At 46.6% G+C, this 19,168-nt stretch overlaps 1 long non-coding RNA gene across 2 annotated transcripts in view, besides 3 other annotated features; it reads right to left on the bottom strand.

Moving 5' to 3' along the window:
- The window catches only part of LINC02964 (long intergenic non-protein coding RNA 2964), a 160,228-nt gene that overhangs the window by 57,795 nt on the left and 83,265 nt on the right, over positions 1 to 19,168 (bottom strand). The window contains exons 3-4 of one of the 2 annotated variants that reach the window (XR_001746072.2): positions 12,893 to 13,437; positions 9,153 to 9,389 (exon numbers count right to left, since the gene is read on the bottom strand). This is a non-coding gene — a long non-coding RNA (long intergenic non-protein coding RNA 2964). Of the gene's footprint in view, positions 1 to 3,996; positions 9,390 to 12,892; positions 13,438 to 19,168 lie in introns of those variants that run through there. The other variant, XR_007061095.1, reaches the window with a different exon arrangement.
- Positions 13,940 to 14,319: an enhancer, noted in NCBI's record as "active region_27925". NCBI's record gives its function as "activates an Ori minimal core promoter by ATAC-STARR-seq in GM12878 lymphoblastoid cells {active_cell/tissue: GM12878}" and the evidence as "EXISTENCE:reporter gene assay evidence [ECO:0000049][PMID:35858748]".
- Positions 16,193 to 16,242: an enhancer, noted in NCBI's record as "active region_27924". NCBI's record gives its function as "activates an Ori minimal core promoter by ATAC-STARR-seq in GM12878 lymphoblastoid cells {active_cell/tissue: GM12878}" and the evidence as "EXISTENCE:reporter gene assay evidence [ECO:0000049][PMID:35858748]".
- Positions 17,115 to 17,294: an enhancer, noted in NCBI's record as "active region_27923". NCBI's record gives its function as "activates an Ori minimal core promoter by ATAC-STARR-seq in GM12878 lymphoblastoid cells {active_cell/tissue: GM12878}" and the evidence as "EXISTENCE:reporter gene assay evidence [ECO:0000049][PMID:35858748]".

Below are 19,168 nucleotides of genomic sequence, written 5' to 3'. Positions count from 1 at the left end.
GTAGTCCCAGCACTTTGGAAGGCCGAGGCAGGCGGATCACGAGGTCAGGAGATCGACACCATCCTGGCTAACATGGTGAAACCCTGTCTCTACTAAAAATCAAAAAATGAGACGGGCGTGGTGGCGGGCGCCTGTAGTCCCAGCTACTGGGGAGGCCGAGGCAGGAGAATGGCGTGGATCCAGGAGATGGAGCTTGCAGTGAGCCGAGATCGTGTCACTGCACTCCAGCCTGGGTGACAGAGCGAGACTCCACCTCAAAAAACAATAATAATAATAATAAAGAGTGCAACAAACACCTCCCTACCTCCGACTCTTCAATAACTCCTCTCTGGATTTTCACAGGTTGGAGGTTTGCTATTTGAGAAGAGAACAAAGTTCTAATCTTTCTAGTTCACCCTAAAAATAGTTAGTTCTTCTCTGTACATTCTGTCAGCTCAGCAAGTCCCATCTAGAGAACTGGGAGATTGTGAAAGGCAATCTTTCTAAACAGGGGTCAAATGTTCTTTACCCGAGAGGAACTCACAGAGGATACACATGAAGTTAGAGAGTTGGCCCAATAGCATGGGGGTCTTCCCACCCAGGCCAGGATCTTGTGTCTAGAACCTCAAGAATAAGCGAAACCAGTGCATTGAGCTTCCTAGAGAAAAGGGATATTTCTCTCATACTGATTTATTGAACCACTCAAGTCATCTGAAAGGCATCTATTGAAAGCTACCAGCTCACAAACTGGCATGTGCAGAAGATGCAGAAATAACTAAGTGTGCCTACCCTTAGAGTTCTCATGGTTAACTACTTGCTGAAATCCTCCTGTATTCCAGAATAGTAGTAATAATGATAATAATAACTAACATTTAATGACCACTTACTAGGTGTCATCCACAGTTCTAAAGCTTTATATACATCATTCACTTATAATTCTTACCTTAACCTCAGAAATTAAGTCCTTTGTCTCCCTTCTGCTGATTTAAAAAAAAAAAAGAATGAGGTACCAAAAGTTAAATGACTTACCTGGGCTGTTTAGAAACTCTCTACCTAGAAAGATTTCCATTACCGTCAGATGTTAGGAGAGGATCTAACATAGGAAAGGTCACCAGTTGTCACAGAAAAAGCCAAAGAACTTAGGTCTAGTGCCCCTTTGCCACTGACAAACTAATAACACCCTCTAGACATCCTCAAGTCCTTCTCCTTGCTCAGGAATTTTCTTCTACCAGGTCTTTTCTACCAACTTCTCTGTATAACTACATCTTACTCATCTTTCAAAGCCCGACTCAGTTGCCCCTTCCATCTAGAAAACTTTCCAGACCAAACTATCCCAGCACATGGTTATGATCTCTCAAACCTCTGTGTTTCCCCATCCCTGTTGCCCGTTAAATTCTGCCACAAGCTCAGACCGACTCTCTATTTGGCTTATTTGTGTCTAATCCATTGAGTTCTCCTCCAAAGCAGAGATCATGCTTCACTCATTTCTGCATCTCCAGGACCTTATGAATGAATGAATGTGTGAATTATAAGGATTACTAAAGCCACAGTGCCTGACTCAAAGCAAGACCATAGTAGGTGCTTGGTAATCATGGACAGCGTAGAATTGAACATGGAAATTAACCAAATGACACTCAGCAAAGAGAAAAACCTTGCATGCCAGCGTTAAGGTAGGCTGAGAAGATATCTGCAGGGGCTGTGAGCAAGAAAACCAGCAGGTTAGACAACCAAGACTTTTAAAGATTTAACAATTAGACTGCACCTCTCCACAACTTAACCAATTCTGTCCTCTCAACAGGCTGCTGGATTCCCCAATTGCCACCCAGAGGAGAAGAAAAGCAGAAGTCATATTATTCTTTTGAGCAACTTTTGGGGGAAAACCCACAGCTTTTATCCTATGGTTTCCGCACCCTGTTCTGTCCTTCTGTCCCCATCCAACTTTTTCTTCCTGTCCATAGGAGAAAACAGAAATGTGGCACGCTTTATAAGCCTATTTCATGAAAATTTAGATTTACCAAAATTATAAATCAGTTAGGAATAGTGATTTGCTTTAACAGAAATAATCTACTTTAGGAAGAATTCTCTAAATGGCAAATTACCAGTTTGGCGCACTAAAAGTGCACTGCGCTTTCTGGAAACTCAGTACATAAGCTTGTTATTCCCTGAATGCACGCCAGGTGCACAGCAGGGCCAGCACAGTCATTAGTGGGGAGATGATGGGGTATTTGGAGGACAATTGGAATGGAGGACTGAGAACTAAACAGAAACTGGAGCTATGACTCCTTCGTCTAAAAATCTTCCCACCTAGAATGCCTCTAGAGCCAATTTTCACAAAATATGTGTCCTGAGGTGATCCACCACAAATAGAGAGTCCCCATGGTCAAATGAGCTTAATGCATGTGCCTGCTCCATCCTGCTCATGAAGATCCTGATAACCATTTGGCTCTTCAAGAATCCAGGAGGCCAGGCACAGTGGCTCACGCCTGGAATTCCAGCACTTTGGGAGGCCGAGGCACGCAGATCACTTGAGGTCAGGAGTTCAAGACCAGCCTGGCCAACATGGCAAAACCCTGTCTCTACAAAAATACAAAAATAAGCCAGACGTGGTGGTGCACACCTGTAGTGCCAGCTACCTGGGAGACTGAGACAGGAGAATCGTTTGAACCAGGGAGGTGGAGGTTGCAGTGAGCCGAGATCATGCCACTGCACTCCAACCTGGGCAACAGAGTGAGACTCCCTCTCAAATTAAAAAAAAAAAAAAAAATCCAGGAGTAGAGAAACTTTAGTTTTATTTATTTAACCCTACTCATACAAACTTATTTAACCATGGAACCCTTTCATTACAGAGTCTCTAAAAACGTTTCATAGAATTACTATGCAGAAGAGGCTATCTTGAAAAAGACAGTAAAGTGAAGTGGGGAGAAGCCTAGTGCCTGTGGGCGGACAGCCTGGGTTTGAATCCCAGGAATGCCTCGTTACGTTCTCTGTGTGACATGGGCACATTATCCCAGCCATGCTCCATGCTTCCATTTCCTCATCTGCAGAATGTGATGACAGGAGGGCCCACCTCATCAGACAGGGTGGGAGTGAGAAGTAAAAGTGTTAACACATGTCAAGTTCTTTTTTTTTGTAATTTCAAATTTTATTTTAGGAGGCCAATGCCTTATCCGTTAGGCAACTGGGGCTTCTTCAAATTTTATTTTAGATTAGGGAGTGCCTGTGCAGGTTTGTTACATGGGTATAACTGTGTGATGCTGAGGTTTGGGATATGGATCCCATCACCTAGGTAGTGAGCATAGTACCCAATAGGCAGTTTTTTCAATCCACACTCCCCTCCCTCCCCACCCCCTGCAATAGTCCCCAGTGGCTATTGTTTCCATCTTTATGTCCATCACACACATAAAGTTCTAAGGATGGACCCAGTGTATAGTAAGTATTCAATAAATATCAGCTATGATTGAAATCTCTTAGAATAGGGGACCCACATATCATCCAACAATATGAAGACATGAGTATTAAGCATCTCTGAATATTCTTCCAGCTCAGTTCCGGATTTCCAGGAAACATAAAAGTGTGACCTGATGATACTAGGAAAATAGAGTTAAAGCCAAGACAAGATGGGTGTAAGCAAGAGATGGGTGTAAGCTCTTGGTGATGACTCAGGATAACCCAAAGGATGGAGGAATGAACATGGAAATGGTCCAATGCTCTTGGTTATTAGCATGGTCTGTGGAGGACAACTACCAAGGGTGAAGCCCAGCCATGCCACGTTCACACTGTGTGACTGAGGCTAGACACCTCACCTCTCTGTGCCCAGGAATAAGAATAGCACTTACCTTTTAGGGGATTAAATGAGCTGTTAAATGAACAGGGTCTGGTTTCTAGACAGTAAAGGTTAGCTCTTATTTTTCTAAGGTAGTGATGTCAATCCTTTTGCTTTTAGTTTGGTTTTTGTTTAGGGGTTGATTTTTCTTCTTGGAAACACACAGACCCACAGAATCTTAGAGCTAAAGGATGTCTGAGAGGTTGTCCAGAGCACATCTTTATTTTGCTGACAAGGAAAAGGGACTCAAACAGAAAAAGTCATTTAGCTCAGGTCACGTGGCAAGTGAGAGGTGAAAGGAAAGAAAAACCTTCCTCGACGACACAAAGAAAAAGTGGGCAGCCTCTCCCTGGGTGTACAGCTAGAGAGGTGTGACAATGGCAGAATGCAGCTTGGGAGGACCCAAAGCTGGTGATTCCTGACTCGAAGCCCTGATCCAGGGAACCACGCCATCTGCACCCCATGACCCACGCTCCTCTCCCTCCATTTTCAAAGCCCACGATGGCCAGGTGAGTCTTTCTCTCTGACTCTTCTTCTCTCGTGGCATCTCTCCCTCTGACCATGGGCAGGAAGGGTCTCCACTTGTAAGGACTCATGTGATTCCATCGAGCCCATCAGGATAGTCTTCTCACTTCAAGATCCATAACCTTAATTATATCTGCAAAGTCCTTTCTGCTACATAAGATAACACATTCACAGGTTCCAAGTATTTGGGTGTGGACGTCTCCTGGGGGGGTCTCCATCCTGCCAGCCACTTTGCCTAGGACCACATTGATAGCAAGCCCAGAAGCCCCAGCCTCCTTCCAGACTCACCTGATTCCAATCAGTCATTCTTTCTCTGACCTATTCTATTCTCCCCGTAGTTCCAAGTCAGTGCCATTCATTCAGCCAAATAAATTAATTCGTCATCTAATTAATTAATTATTCCATGCATGAATATTCCATGACCAAGCTGGACATGGAATAGAAGAATTAACAGGAGATCCGTGGAGGGAGCACACACCTAAGTTATCAAATCTTAGATTCAAACCTGGTTCTGCCCTTCACTAGGGACGTGACCTTGGGCAAACTATTTAACCTTCCTAAACTTCCATTTCCTCACCTGTAGCATGCAGATGAGAATGACATTAATCTCATAGGGTTGTTCTGTGGGTTAAATGGGATAGCATGTAGAAGGCGCTTTGCATGGTGTCTGACTCAAGAAACTACAGAATCAATTGCCATTATTATAGTGTCTTTTCATCTCCATGATGCTCTCTGTGAGGAACAGAGCACAGCGAAGGAGAATCTGTCCCTCTTGATGTGATTAACTGATTTCAGAGCCAACAGGATAGAATGATGAGCTTGTGGTGGTCAAAGAAGTAGGACTCTGGGCTTTCCTTGATCACTGGGGTTAAGAACCTAGAATCTACTGGACTAGAAGAAAAGGATCTTGAGCTCACCTTAGCCACAAAGGAACATAAAACACAGACATGATACATCTCTATGTTAGCCCCAGATTTGGGGGCATTCCTTTCTGATAGGCCTGAATGTTTAGAATCAGATGGGCAAGGTATGGCCTCAGTTAAGTGGAGCCTCAGTTTCCTCATCCTTAAAATGGGAATCATAGTTATCATATTCACTTTCTGTGAGCATTACATACCTGAGCAGCATAAATCCCCACAGCAGCCCTAAAAGGTAGATATTATTACCCTCAGCTTATGGATGGAGAACCTGAACCTTGGACAGAAAAAATAATTTCCGCAAGTTCGCACATTGCTGGGGTGATGACAACGCTGCTGATTACAAGAACAGCAACCAACACCTCGTGTGGACCCTGCGTTATGTCATGCTGTGCTGCAGATATGCTGGTGCTGGCAGGGGTGGCAGGTCTTACTGTCCTTGGGATGGTCCCTTTCTGGTTTTCTGCCTCTGCTCTTGCCCACCCCCTACCTCCTCCATACAACAGACAGAATGATCCTGAAATCTTTATTACTTCTCTATTTCTGCAAAAGCCTCCCTTTCACTCAGAATAAATTCCAAAGTGATCCCCATGCTTCTGAGGCCTTACAAGGTCTGTTCTGTGCCTCCGAGAGCTCATGACCTGCCACTGCCCTCCTCATCCTCCCTCTGGTCACTCTTCCTGCAATCCCCCCACAGGCCCCCAGCTCAAGGCCTCTGCACCTGCAGCCTGCTCTGCCCAGTGCACTCTCTCCCAGACATCCGTGGGCCCCTCCATCGCTTCTCCCAGTCTCTGCTCAAATGTCACCTTCTCCGTAGGCCCTCCAAGACCACCCTGTATGAAACAGCTCGCATACCCCATGCCAGCATTGTTTATCTCCTTAACCTGTTTCTTTTTTCTTTTTCTTTTTTCCAGACAGAGTCTCACTCTGTTGCCCAGGCTGGAGTGCAGTCGCGTGATCTTGGCTCACTGCAACCTCCACCTCCCGGGTTCAAGTGATTCTCTTGCCTCAATCTCCCGAGTAGCTGGGATTACAGATGCCCACCTCCAGGCCTGGAAAATTTTTGTATTTTTAGTAGAGACGGGGTTTCACCATGTTGGCCAGGCTGGTCTTGAACTCCTGACCTCAGGTGATTCCCCACCTCGGCCTTCCAAAGTGCTGGGTTCACAGGCATGTGATACCGTGCCCAGCCACCTGTTTCATTTTTCATCTAGGCACGCACCACCACCTGATCTATTACGATTGTGCATTTCTTTGTTTATTGTCTCTCTCTTCCCACCAGAGTACGAGCTCCATGAAGGCAGGGCCACTGCTGGCCGTGCTCACTGCTGGATCCTCAGTGTTCAGAGCAGGGCCAGGCACAGAGCGGTGCTCTACACATATCTACCGCATAACACAATGAACTAGAAGGCTCCTTTTGGCCCTCTGGCAGTCGGGGGTGGGGGGGTGCCAAGGGGATGATGCAGAAAGCAGCTGAATATAGTGGGAGGAGGCTGGGGGAGGCAAAATGGTTCCGAAGGAGGAACTGCCAGGCTGCTGACAGCTGCCCGCGGGTGCCCCTGGCAGGGCACAGCTGGATGCAGATGTTGATCTTCCCCCTCCTCCTCCCCAAAGTAAAGAGCATTCTGGAACCACCAAGAGCAGAGCCCCCATCCCAGAGCAGGCAAGAGAATAGAAAGCCAAATCTAGAATTTTCAGAATTAAAGCAAACCTCAGAGTCTCCAGTCTGCTGATTTGCTCCTTTTACGGCAGAAAAGAAACGAAGGGAGGGGAGGGGAGGGAAGGGGAAGGAGAAGGGGAAGGGGAAGGGGAAGGGGAAGAGGAAGGGGAAGGGGAGGCTGGGAATTCATCCCAAGAAAGACACTCAAGCCTAATTGAACAACCAATGATAAGCGCGTTGCTAGGTGTGTCCGCAAGGATGCAGCAGAAAAAAGAGTTCACCCCAGACTGTGCAAATGAAGATCATGTAATGAAAGAACCATTCTGGATGCTGGGGCTCCCAGAAATACCAAGTGGGGGCCCCTCACTCAGCTGAAGGAGCAAGGGGAGGAGATAGTGTTACTGGAGACTCAGAAGAGGGGCAGGAACCGCAGTTGTGGAGGGGCCCAGCTGCTGCCCAAGATGTGAACCTCCCTCTCCCTTTGCCCTTTGGTCTCCTGCCAGAGCCCTCGACAGACCCGACTCAACCAGAAGACAGTGACAGGGAGCCTGGGGGCACAGCTGGCAGGGTCAGCCTCCAGGGCTCCAAGCAGGCTAGGAATGGAGCCAGGCGGGCCACGGAGAAGAACCGCAAAGAAGGTGTGCAGTAACCAGCGATGTCCCCACTGCATGGCGCAAAACCCAGCACAGACTAGACCCCAAATACGTATTTGCTGAATGACTGAATGAATAAATGCTTGTCAGGCATCCCCTAACGCCTCCTAGCGTGCATGCTCTGCAAACTGTTCCATCCTCAACTCGGCACAAGCAAGCGCCAAAGGCGCCTAAAAGCCTTCGCACACACACTCACACGCAGCCCCCCTCACACCTGACCCTTACACACACACTCACACGCAGCCCCCTCACACCTGACCCTCACACACACTTGCACACTCACAAGCAGCCCCTCTACACCTAACTCTCACACTTACATGCAGCCCCCTCTCACACCTGTCACACACACACGCAGCCCCTCACACCTAACTTTCACACACACTTGCACACACACACAGACACCTATGCCACCCGCACACAACTCTCATACACACACACGACTCTCCCTCACACATACAGACCACACAGGCTTAACTCACGCTTACATACACACTCGCACATACACCACATACACTCAACTCTCTCACACGCACATATTATTCACACTTAGGCTCAACCCAACATGTAGACACCTACATTTACACACACATACACACACCCAACACATGCACACCCTCACACAGATACCTGTACTCACATTCACACACACCACGTACACTCAACTCTGTCACACACATATTTACACACCTATGCTCAGACACACACATCCACTCATGCACTTATGCTCACACCAGTCAACACATACACATCCTCACAAACACACACACACACACATCTGAAAGTGAGTTAGGAATCTCTTCCTTGTTTTCCCAAAACACCCCATGTCTACCTCCCCCCCAGACTGAGAACGCTGATGGATTCTTGGCATGCGCCTGTGTGAACACAATCTGGGCATATGTAGTGTCGTCATGAACACAGCATGCACGGAGCCTCCTCTGGAGCTCTTACTGTGCACTGAGCATGCCTCAAGCACTGTACTATCATGGTATCACTTACTCCCTATGAGATGAGCATGGGTACTCTTTTTCAGATATGGAAACCGAAGCTGAGGAAGGTGAATAGCTTTCCCAAAGTGACACAACTGGTGAGGGGAGAGCCTGGGCTCCCCGGGGTGTCGGGGGAGGTCTAACTCAAAGGCCATTCCCTCAGCCATCCTGTCGTTCATCCCTGAGCCTTACAAAAGGTCTGCCAGGCAGCGGGAGGTTAATGGCCATTGGCCAAAGCCCGCTCTTCCTGCAGGATCGACGAAAGTGGAAGATTATGAGCCCGGACCTGAACGTCAGCTGTCTCCCATGCAAAAATCACTAAGAATAAAATGGAATTTCTCTCCAGTGGTTTGGAATGGCCACCACAAGTCTGCATGGTGGCAGAGGAATGCAATGCATGACTTATTATGTCCTGGGTCACTCTGCCTCTGGCACGACTGGGGAAGCCCTTCCCTCCCTCCTCGTTCCCTGCAGATTCATCATCAGGCAACCCTTTGATGCCAGCACAGGCCCTGCACAAACTGATCCACTGAAAGTTTCAACTCCTGTCGCTAGAGTTTGGGGAAGCTGGTGATCCGGGAGCAGAACGCTGCATTTGTAGAAACCAACCTCTTCCAAAGTCAGAAAATGAACCCAGAAGAATGCTGCATTGATGGTGCAACTCTTGCTTGCCCACCATTTGACTTCTAGCAGGAAGTGTTTTTAAAGGGTATTTTTCTCCCTCGCTGGTCAGTTCCTCATTGAGAAATTCTCTTTTGTGACACTGGGACATCTCAGCTCCCAAAATGATGATGGGACTTTTTTAAAAATATCCACTTCCAGGTTTGGATTCACTTCTTCATTCATCTGGAAGAGTAGAAAGGATTTCCAAATGCTTACCAAACTTCTCCTCTGAGCCCATCACTGGCCTTATCCCTAGACCCTCACACATACACACAAACCACACATGCTCTCCCCAGACCCTGACTATCACCTCTTGGAGTCATGCAGCACAGGATAGGATGTCCCCATCTTCTCTTCCTCTCCCCCATCCCCTACTCACGCACTCAGTATGGTTTATCAGCCTCCTCTGTGTCCCACCATACGTTATGAAGCAACATGATAAAATCTTCTGTTAGGTTTGGTAAGAAATAGAATGTAACCCGATGGTGAAACCTTAGTGGGCTTCAGAATTAAACAGACCCATATGATGCTGCAAACTTCCTTAAACTCTCCTTTCCTGGAGGCCAAGAAAGCAGAAATCATCACCTGTTATGGTGACCCATGGCCAGGGTCACAGAAATCTCTTACACCCTGCATCTACTCTACCACCCATCTGCCAGGTCCCTCTGTTCTTCAGTCCTTTGGATGACGATGTGGTCTACACTCCTGCTTACTCTGCTGGCTTTACCTTTCCCTTGACTCAGACTCCCTGCGCAGCAACACCAAGCTCCTGGCACACACTGCACAGGCTGAGCTGTTTCCTCACCCCACCTTTGCTCATGCTGCTTCCTCCATCTGGGATGCTTTTTCCCCTCTGTCTTTATCTGGCAAACTCCTACTTATGCTAGAAGACTCAGCTCAAACTCACCCTGAGCGTCATTCCCTGAGCCCAAAGCTAAGCTGTGCTTCCCTGGAGCCCTGGGTTTGTTCTGCTGCTACGCTCTCCATCTTGTGTTGAAAACATCCATTTGCAAGTCCACCTCCTGCAGCAAGCTCTGAGTTCTGGGAAGAAAGAGGAACATGGCTGGCTCATCCCTAATTCCCAGAGCCCAGAACAGGGCCTGGCACATCACAGATGCTCAGAGGAGCACTTTCTTAAATCCAGCTCAACACCCTCCATTTTTCCTCATCATCTAAATGGGCATGTGGATGGGCTCAGTCCCAGCCCAGAGAAACAGGAACTTAGAGATATGCACAAAGTGACCAAATCTCCTCAGCCCACAGGCTCTCCCACCATTTGCAGTGGGTTGTGAAACAGACAGAGAGCAGCCCAGAGTGGGGACCCCAAGAAGCTGTTGGTGGTGGCAGTCTCTGGGGTGAGATAATTCCAGAAGGGAAGCAGGTGGTCTCCACGAGATATAGGGTTCATGGGTATACATGACTGATGCCCAAAACCATCCATCCCACTACAAATTCAGCAGTAGAGTAATTAGCAAAGGAAGCTGATAAAACATCCTTTAGTTTAAATCTCCCACCCTGATTAAAACAGAAAGCCTTATGGCAAGTATTTCTAAGCTGTCTTTATCTCTGCAGCATTCTTTTATAAAGTGGTATACCAGAACCTCTGCCCATCATCTCATTTAATTTCATAACAACTCTGTGAGATCAATGTCATTTTCCCCATTTTATGAATGAGGAAGCTTAGGTACAGAGAAACTAAGTAAGTTACCCAAAATCATCTATCTCAGAAATGGTAGAGCCAGAATGTGAAATCATCTATCTCAGAAATGGTAGAGCTGGAAAATGAACCCAGCTCTATCTGGCCCCAGGGTCCTCCTCTCTCTTAACCAAAATGTTAAATTGTCTACTGGGACAAGGGAAAAATTGTCCCCAAACAGGAATCAGGAGACCTGCCACATGACCTTGGCCTGATCACAATCATTCTGACCCTTGATTTCCTCATCATTTCCCTCTGAGCCCAAGTCTACACATGGCTTAAGACACATTTAGCATCACTTCCTCTACAGAGCCTCTCCCAACCATGCTATGTCATAGTCAATGGAGAGCTAACAAATCCTTCCTTTGTGCCCTCACCCGCCCCTTTATTCCAGGACCTATGCATCAGGCAGCTAGTGCTGTGTAACAAGCTGCTCCACAACTGAATACCTCTAAACCAGGGGCAAGCAAACATTTTCTTAAAAGGTAGTATTTTAGGCTCTGCAGATTACAGCATCTCTGTTGCAACTACTCAGTTTTGCCTTTGTAACTCAAAGGGAGTCACAGACAATGCATAAATAACTGTCATGACTAAATTCTAATAAAATTTTATATACAAAAACAGGTGGCTGGTCAGCCCACAGGCTGTAGTTTGGCAATCACTGCTTGGAGCAATAAGCATTTATTACTGCTTGCAAATCTATGGGCTGGCTGAACCCATCTGCTAATTGTGGCCAGGCATGGCTGATCTTGCTTGAGCTCACTTGTGCATCTGCAGTCAGGTGGCCAGATACCCAGGGGTTAACTAGTCTAAGATGTTTATTTTGCATATCTGGTATTTGGCCTGCTCTCTGGTAGAGGAACAGAGATGACTGGGCCATGTGTCTCTCATCATCAAGAAGGCTTGCCTGGGTTTGTTCTCCTAGAAACTCTGCAAGATTTGTAGACATGGTAGAAGCACACAAAGCCAACAGAGGCCTGGGCTCAAAACCAACATACATCACTTCTACCAAATTTTATCAACAGAAGCACATCATAAGACCAGGCCTCATCCAAGGGATAGAGAAATAGACCCAGTCTCTTATGGAAAAGCTAGGAAGTCACATTGCAAAGGGTGTGGGTACAACACAGTCCAAAATATTGTGGCCATTTCTACAATCCTCCATCACGGCCAGTTGTATTTGTATGTATGTATCTGTTACACGTCTGCCTCCCTCTTGTTAGACTGTAAGCCCCTTGAAGATGGGTTTCTATATCCTATTCATCATTGTATCTCCAGTTCCTATAGTACCTGGAACAGGAAACAGTCGATTTTAACTCCTGAAGAGCTCACAAATCCATCTATGTCCAGCACCACCACCTCTACCTGGGTCCCACGTATTGGCAGCTCTTGCCCAGCCCACATCTATAGCCTTCTGACTTGTCTCTTTGCCACCACTCTAACCTCCTTCCAATCCAGTCTCAACTCAACAGCCAGAGGGATCTTTTACAAATACAAACTAAATAATATGAATACCTCATCCCTACCACTTCAAATTAGAATTCTCTAGTGGATTCCCTGCCCCCTATCATTCAACCCCGCTCTCCTAAAATGACCCCTGGCCCCTCTAACCCCATCTCACATGTCCTTCCCCCTTGCCCTCTGCATGCTCACCCAACTAAAATGTCAGTTCCCCCATAGGGCCTTTGCACTCGCTGTTCCCATTGCCTGGAATGCTCTTCCATCCTCACTTCACTAGCTCACTGTCACTGCCTTTCAGAACGCAACTCAGACATCACTTTTAAGTGGCTTGAGGAAGCCTTCCCTGACTCCCAAGTTGAGATCATTTTTTTCTTTATTACTCAGTTTCCCCAAAGCTGGATTTGCTTCCTTCAGATAACTTATCTCAGTGTGTAGCTGCACATTCATGACCGTGACTCTGATTACTATCAGTCTTCCCTGCTGGACTCCAAACGTTAGGAGCTCCTGGGCTATGTCTGCTTGGACTCACCATTGCATCCCCAGCAGCTGGCACAGGAGGAGCACTCAGAACAAGTACCCAGTAAGTACACAGGGAATCCAGAATAAATATATCAATAGGAATATTGATTATCCCAATGTTTGTGGAATCCTATAGGGGCTCCAGTGCTTTGTCAGCCCCCCCAGATCCCCCTTGCTGAGGCGGTGATTAATTACCACGTCTTGGAAATAAGTTCACATAAATCAGAGCGGAAGAATAAGTCAGATGCAGAAGAGCACCCAGCATCTTGCAGGGCAGGTTGGAGCCTCCACCAATATAGGGCAATTGGGCAAAAAGGGAAGCCTAGGGACACGGACACTCCTGTCATGATTCTGCTCAGTGTCGGTCCCAGGCAGCATCTAGCAAGACACTGGGGGTCAACAATAGCAAGAAAGTCCAAGAATTTTGGCATACAGAACCAACATGGCACAGCCAGGAGCAATCCAGAATTGGCATCGGAAGCCCTGGTTCAACCTCCAGCTCTGCGTCTTTACTGGATTTGGGAAAAATAACCTCTCTGTGTCCTGTTTCATCATCTGTAAAATAAAAACAAAAATAAATCCTTCTCAGCATAAATATAAAACCCTAAATGAGTTTACATGAAAGGATGTTGCAATAAGAGCTAACACTCAGGGTGTGCCAGAAGTGGCTCTAAACATTTCATAGGCTTTAGCTCATTGAATTCCCACCGCATCTTTATAAGGCAGGTCCTACTACTATCCCCATTTCACAGATGAGGAACCCAAGGCTCAGAAATCTCAGAAACTTTCCCAAGGTTAAGTTTCCCAAGAAATCTCAGAAACTTTCCTGCTAGGAGGATCTGGATCTGGGGCTTGAGTTCATGCTCTTTTGTTCCAGAGCCCGTGCTTACTCAAGGACACTCAACAAACCCCAAGGTGATGTTATGGTTAAGGCTCTCAGCCCTCCCCAGGGTCACGCATGCCTCCCCCTTCCTTCCTGTTGCACTTGCCTAGCTAAACGGCAAAACAGAGGCCTGTGTCCTGTGCTTGGCTCTGCCATTTCCTCTCCACCTGACCTTGAGCTAGCAAGGCTACCTTTCTGAAACCCAGGGTACCCCTTTCCATAAGATGGATCTACTAATCCACACCACGTTCACAGGATCATCATGGGGAATAACAGACACGGTCGTAATAGCACATTGTAAGTTGCCAAGCAACATTGAACTTGAAGGGACTCCAGGGCAGGGCACTGCCAGGCTTGAAGAATGTGGACACTAAAGGGCCCAAGTGCCCCTTGGGGAAGAGCTCTTACAGAGCAGGCTGCCCCCGCCCAGAGGCCACCTTGTTTACGCAATGATCAACTCATTCTGAAACCCAAGAGGCTGCCATCTGCCCTCAGAGCAGGCCCAGACGCTGCTTTCCTGTTTGCTTCATTGGCTTCAGATCGGGGTGTTTTTTTTTTTTATTTGAAAAAAAAAAAAAAAAGCTTTTGGCAGGAGATGTCCCTAAAATTTTAAGTGGTTTGTTTTTCTTTTTTCCCTGCTCCCCCAGCCCAAAGCCTACCCCTGAGTTTTTCCTTCTTTGATTGCATGTAACCTCAAACAATGGCATCATTTACAGACTCCAAGCAGCCTCCTGCCATGGGTCCCACGCTGAGCTCTGCTTTCTAAATCATTGGCTGCTGTCACCCTGAGTCTGAAACCGCAGCTCTCCTTTGAGGTTGGGTCATGTGGCATCTGAGGGCTCCATAGTCTTGGAGTGCCAGTGTAAGCTGACCAGGATTCTGATTTTGTATTTTAAACTCAACCGTTGTTATTCAGTGCTGGTGGCACTTCTTCCCCTCTCTTCCCAATGTGTCTCCAAGGTTCTCAGCATTCTGTTCAATGGGTCTAACCCTCACACTCCTGACTGTTTCCCGGGAGACTTGATAATAGGGCTGGCCAATGTCTGCCGCACTTAGAGGTGTAGAGAGCCAGGGTCAAGGAGGATATTGACATGTATAGTATGTGGTTTCTGCCCTCCTGAATTCCCCAGACTAATCAGGACACTTCATGTTAAGACAATAATTTTGGAGAAGCACATTAGAGTCTATCAGTCATTTACATTAGAGTATGAATTGGCCTTTTTGGCAGATCCAAAAGCATTTGTTGTGAGATGGTGAAGAGGAAGATAACACTTTGCAAGACAAAACACCACAGAAAGTAAAACGGGATAGAAATAGAGGGTGGGCACACACTGAAAATGAACTTCACTTTTGTCCTTGAAGTTGCCTTGTGCTAGAACCATGCCAATGCTTTATTCCAAAAGGAAGTTAACTTCTAAGAGACTACCACACTGTTTATGAGATTTATTCCTGATTTACTTTATTTAACACATTTTATATAGTGCTTCTATGTGTTTAGGGATTAGTCAAATACAGACGAATTTAATCCTCACAACATCATTAGATAAGTTTTATTAGAATCTTATCTTAAAGATGAGGAAACTGAGGCACAGAAAAATAGTTTGCCCAAAGTCACGCAGCTTCTCAGTGACAGAGTTGGAACTCACATGCAGACAGTCTGGCTCCAAAATCCATGCTACGAATTTCTGTATTGTAATAGCAAAAGGATACAAAGCCATTTGTATGATTTTATCCTTTTTGGACCAGTAAATGAATAAACTCCTGTGATGAGTAAACCGTTTTCAACAATCAGCTTAAAGAAACCTCAACTTAAAAAGCATTACCAAGACTGTCAGAACCAGTAATCTGAGGCTGACTTATGAACTTGATGACAACATTCTTTAATTCACCTTTTTGACTCATTCAATAAGTATTACATGAAGCACCTCCTATGCCTGGGGCCAGTCACTGAGGATACAATTGTTCACAAGACAGACCTGGTCCTTCCGGCCTAAGGCGCACCGTCTGAATAGCAGTTGGAGCCCCAGCAGGGGTTGCTGGTGCATTCAGGAGTCAGGTGGCAGGTGTGGGCCAGCTCCTGTGGGAGGACAAGCTGCACCTAACTCAGACCAGGGGACTGGGGGCAGGTTCAGAGCAGTGACATCTAAGCTGAGGCCTGACAAAGGAGGAAGATTCAGTCAGATGCCAAGGCAGGGGGAGAATGAACCAGGAAGTGGAAAGAGCACGTGCAAAGTCCCAGAGGTGCCAAACAGCCTGGGCTGCAAGAAAAACAGAAAGTTGAGTGAGGCTGATGTGCAGAATGTGGGCAGGTGATCAGTGGAGGCTAAAGATGGCCTGACATCAGGGCTGGATGCCATTGGTCTATGTGGACCCTGATACAGATATTAGATTTCTGCCGGTGTCAAAGAGAAGTGGGTCGGGGAAGCCTGAGACTCTGATATAACATCACGTGACAGATAACAGTCCCTAAAGGAAATGAAAGTATTTTACCTCCAAATATATTTCTTGGACATATTTTGAAATGACCCTGCAAAGCCACCCGTTGTGGGGAAAATTTACATTCTGCAGAGAATCTTCTTCCCTTTCTAAGTCTTTTCCTGATCCAGGAGAGATTTAACTAAAAGTCTGACAGCTTTTAAGGTCTGATAAAAGACATTTACCATCTGTTCTCTCTGAAGTCTGCTACCTGGAGGCTTCGTCTACATAAGAAGAAACCTGGCCTCCACAACCCCCGTTATCTTAACCCCAAGCATTTCTTCTGCTGACTCAAACTCTTTAGGCAAAGCTTAACACTTTCAACCAATTGCCAATCAGGAAATCTTTGAATCCGCCTGTGACCTGAAAGCACCCACTTCAAGATGACCTGCCTTTCTTGGCCAAGCTAACATATAACTCACACGTATTGATTTATGTTTTCCCTGTAGCTTCTGTCTCCCTAAAATGTATAAAGTCAAAGTATAACCCAAACATCTTGGGCACATGTTCTCAGGACCTTCTGAGGCTGTGTCACGGGCCATGGTCCTCACACTTGGCTCAGAATAAACTTCTTCAAGTATTTCAGAGTTTGGCTTTTTTCATCAACAGTATGAACCCTGTGCCCCCCAAATTTATCTGCTGAAGCCCTAACCTCCAACATGATGATATTAGGAGGTGAGGCCTGTGGGGAGTAATTAGGTTTAGAGGAGGTCCTGAGGCTACAGTCTCAGTGATGGGATTGGTGCCCTTAGAAGAAGAGAAAGAGACAAAAAATCTCTCACTCCACCAGGTGAGGACACAGCAAGAAGGCAGCCATCCACAAGCCAGGAAGAGAGCTCTCACCAGGAGCCAAATCTGCTGACACCTTGATCTTGGACCTCCGAGCCTCCAGAACAGCGAGATAATAAATGTCTGCTGTTTAAGACCCCAGTCCGTGGTATTTTATTATGGCAGCCTGAGTCGACTAAGATGACCTCAAGTTAAATCTAAAACTTTGCCTCAGATGTCAACACCCAGGAAGCTACCATTTCTCCTTGAAACAATACATATGCAAAGAATATGCAAAGAAAACACACTCACAAAAGAAATAATCTCCAATGATAAGGGAAGCCAACTGAAGACTCTTTAAAGTGACAGACCCAAAAATATTTGTTACTGGTTAACTTTCATTTCCTCAGGCCCTATCAGTGCAGCGGGGACACATAACAGAAACTAAGGGAGGTCTGTGGCTTGCCCACCCCTGCCAAGATATACTGAAACCTCAGCTCTTCCTTTCCGATCCAAGAGGTCTTGGAGAGTCTCCCATGCACAAGACAGTTCTTCTTAATTCTCTGATGCCCATTCGCCTTCCCTGGGCCACTCAACTTGTGCTTCCTGTCATTTCCCCGGGGCGCTGCCATCATTCTCTAAGGCTGCTCATCCTGCCAACATTTCTGAGGCTCATGCCTCCTGGCCACGGATACAGACCTGTTTCCTAGCTGCTCTTTCTTCCACACTGTAAGTCATCTGGTATTAGAAATGCTTTGATGCAGTCATGGAGCTGAGTGAACACACTGTCTTAGACCCATGCAAACTTTCAGACACAGCTCCTTCATTCCCCAACAAATTTATTCTGAGTGCTTACCCAGTGCCAGGCACTGGGGAGGCAGGGATGAAGGAAATCCAGTTCCAGCTCTCAAAGGGAGGCTAGACTCATGGAGAAGAAGGCTCTTATGTTGGGCTCTCCCTCTGAAAAGCTTCTTAAAGCCTGTCCTACCAGGCATTGGCACAAGGAGGATGTCAGCAAGTGAAGATCGGCAGGACAGCATTCTAAGAAGAAAGCAAATGCAGGGTATGGACTTTCAGCCTGGGCTGCCACAAGGGCAAATCTCCTGCTGTAGTGACCTAGTATCACCCTCCACCTTGAGTTGAGAGACAGCGACAATAACAGCAGGAGTAATTGTAACGAGAAATGGCTAGCATCACAGAGCCCTTACAATATTCTCCACCAGCTCTGTCTAGGAGAATTATCTGTGATGATGGAAACGTTCTATATCTGTGCTGTCCAATTTAGAAGCCACTGAGAACTTGAAATGCAGCTGGTGCAATGGAAGAATCTCAATTTTAATTTTAGTTCATTTTGGTTATTTTAAATAGTCACCTGTGACTAGTGGCCACCATATCAGACAGCACAAGACAAGATATTGTGCTAAGCACTTTATGGGCAATATATTAATTTTAACAATAAGCAATGAGATAAGCACGATTTTTGTCTCCATTTCACAGATGTAGAAACTGAGTCCCAGAGAGGTTAAATAATTTGTCCAGGTCACTCATTTAGTAAGGGTAGAGCCAAGACTTAAACCCCAGCGATCTCTCCCCAGAAAGAAGTGAATCCTGCATCATACATTCATTCATCCATTCCAGAACCACACATTTGTTGTACCTATCATGAGTCAAGCAACATTCTAGATGATGGGGATATAGAGATACATGGGAAGGGGTCCCTGGACTCAGGGAGCAGACACTTTTTGAGACAGTCAAACTAAAGGAAGCCTCAACACCAAGGAACAACAGCCATGTTAAGCTCAGCTGGTGGTGCTGGGGAGCCCTCCGCTAAGGCCATTAAACACTGCATAGGGGGCTAGAGGTGGGGGGGTGCCTTGAAGATGGTTAAGGCCCTCTAGTTTATAAGTCATTCCTCCATCCTGAGCCCTGGCCAGGCCCCCCAGCTTTCCCCTAAAGGTGTCCCCCAACCCCCAACTATGATGAGAAATGTCTGCAGGGGGTATGGGTGGTCAGTCCCAGGGAGGGAGATCAAGTCCCCTCTCTCCCACGAGGCTCATGGGACACTCAACAACTTGAAATCTCCCCTGACATGCCCTGAACTGTCTGAATGGAACACTAGTAAACCACTTGGACCACAGCTTCCAGAACTTTCCTACTTTA

Source organism: Homo sapiens, chromosome 8 (genome assembly GCF_000001405.40).
Source record: "Homo sapiens chromosome 8, GRCh38.p14 Primary Assembly".
NCBI classification, from domain to species: Eukaryota; Metazoa; Chordata; class Mammalia; order Primates; family Hominidae; genus Homo; species Homo sapiens.
Note: the sequence above shows the minus strand (reverse complement) of the source record. Positions and strands in the feature narration are given on the sequence as shown.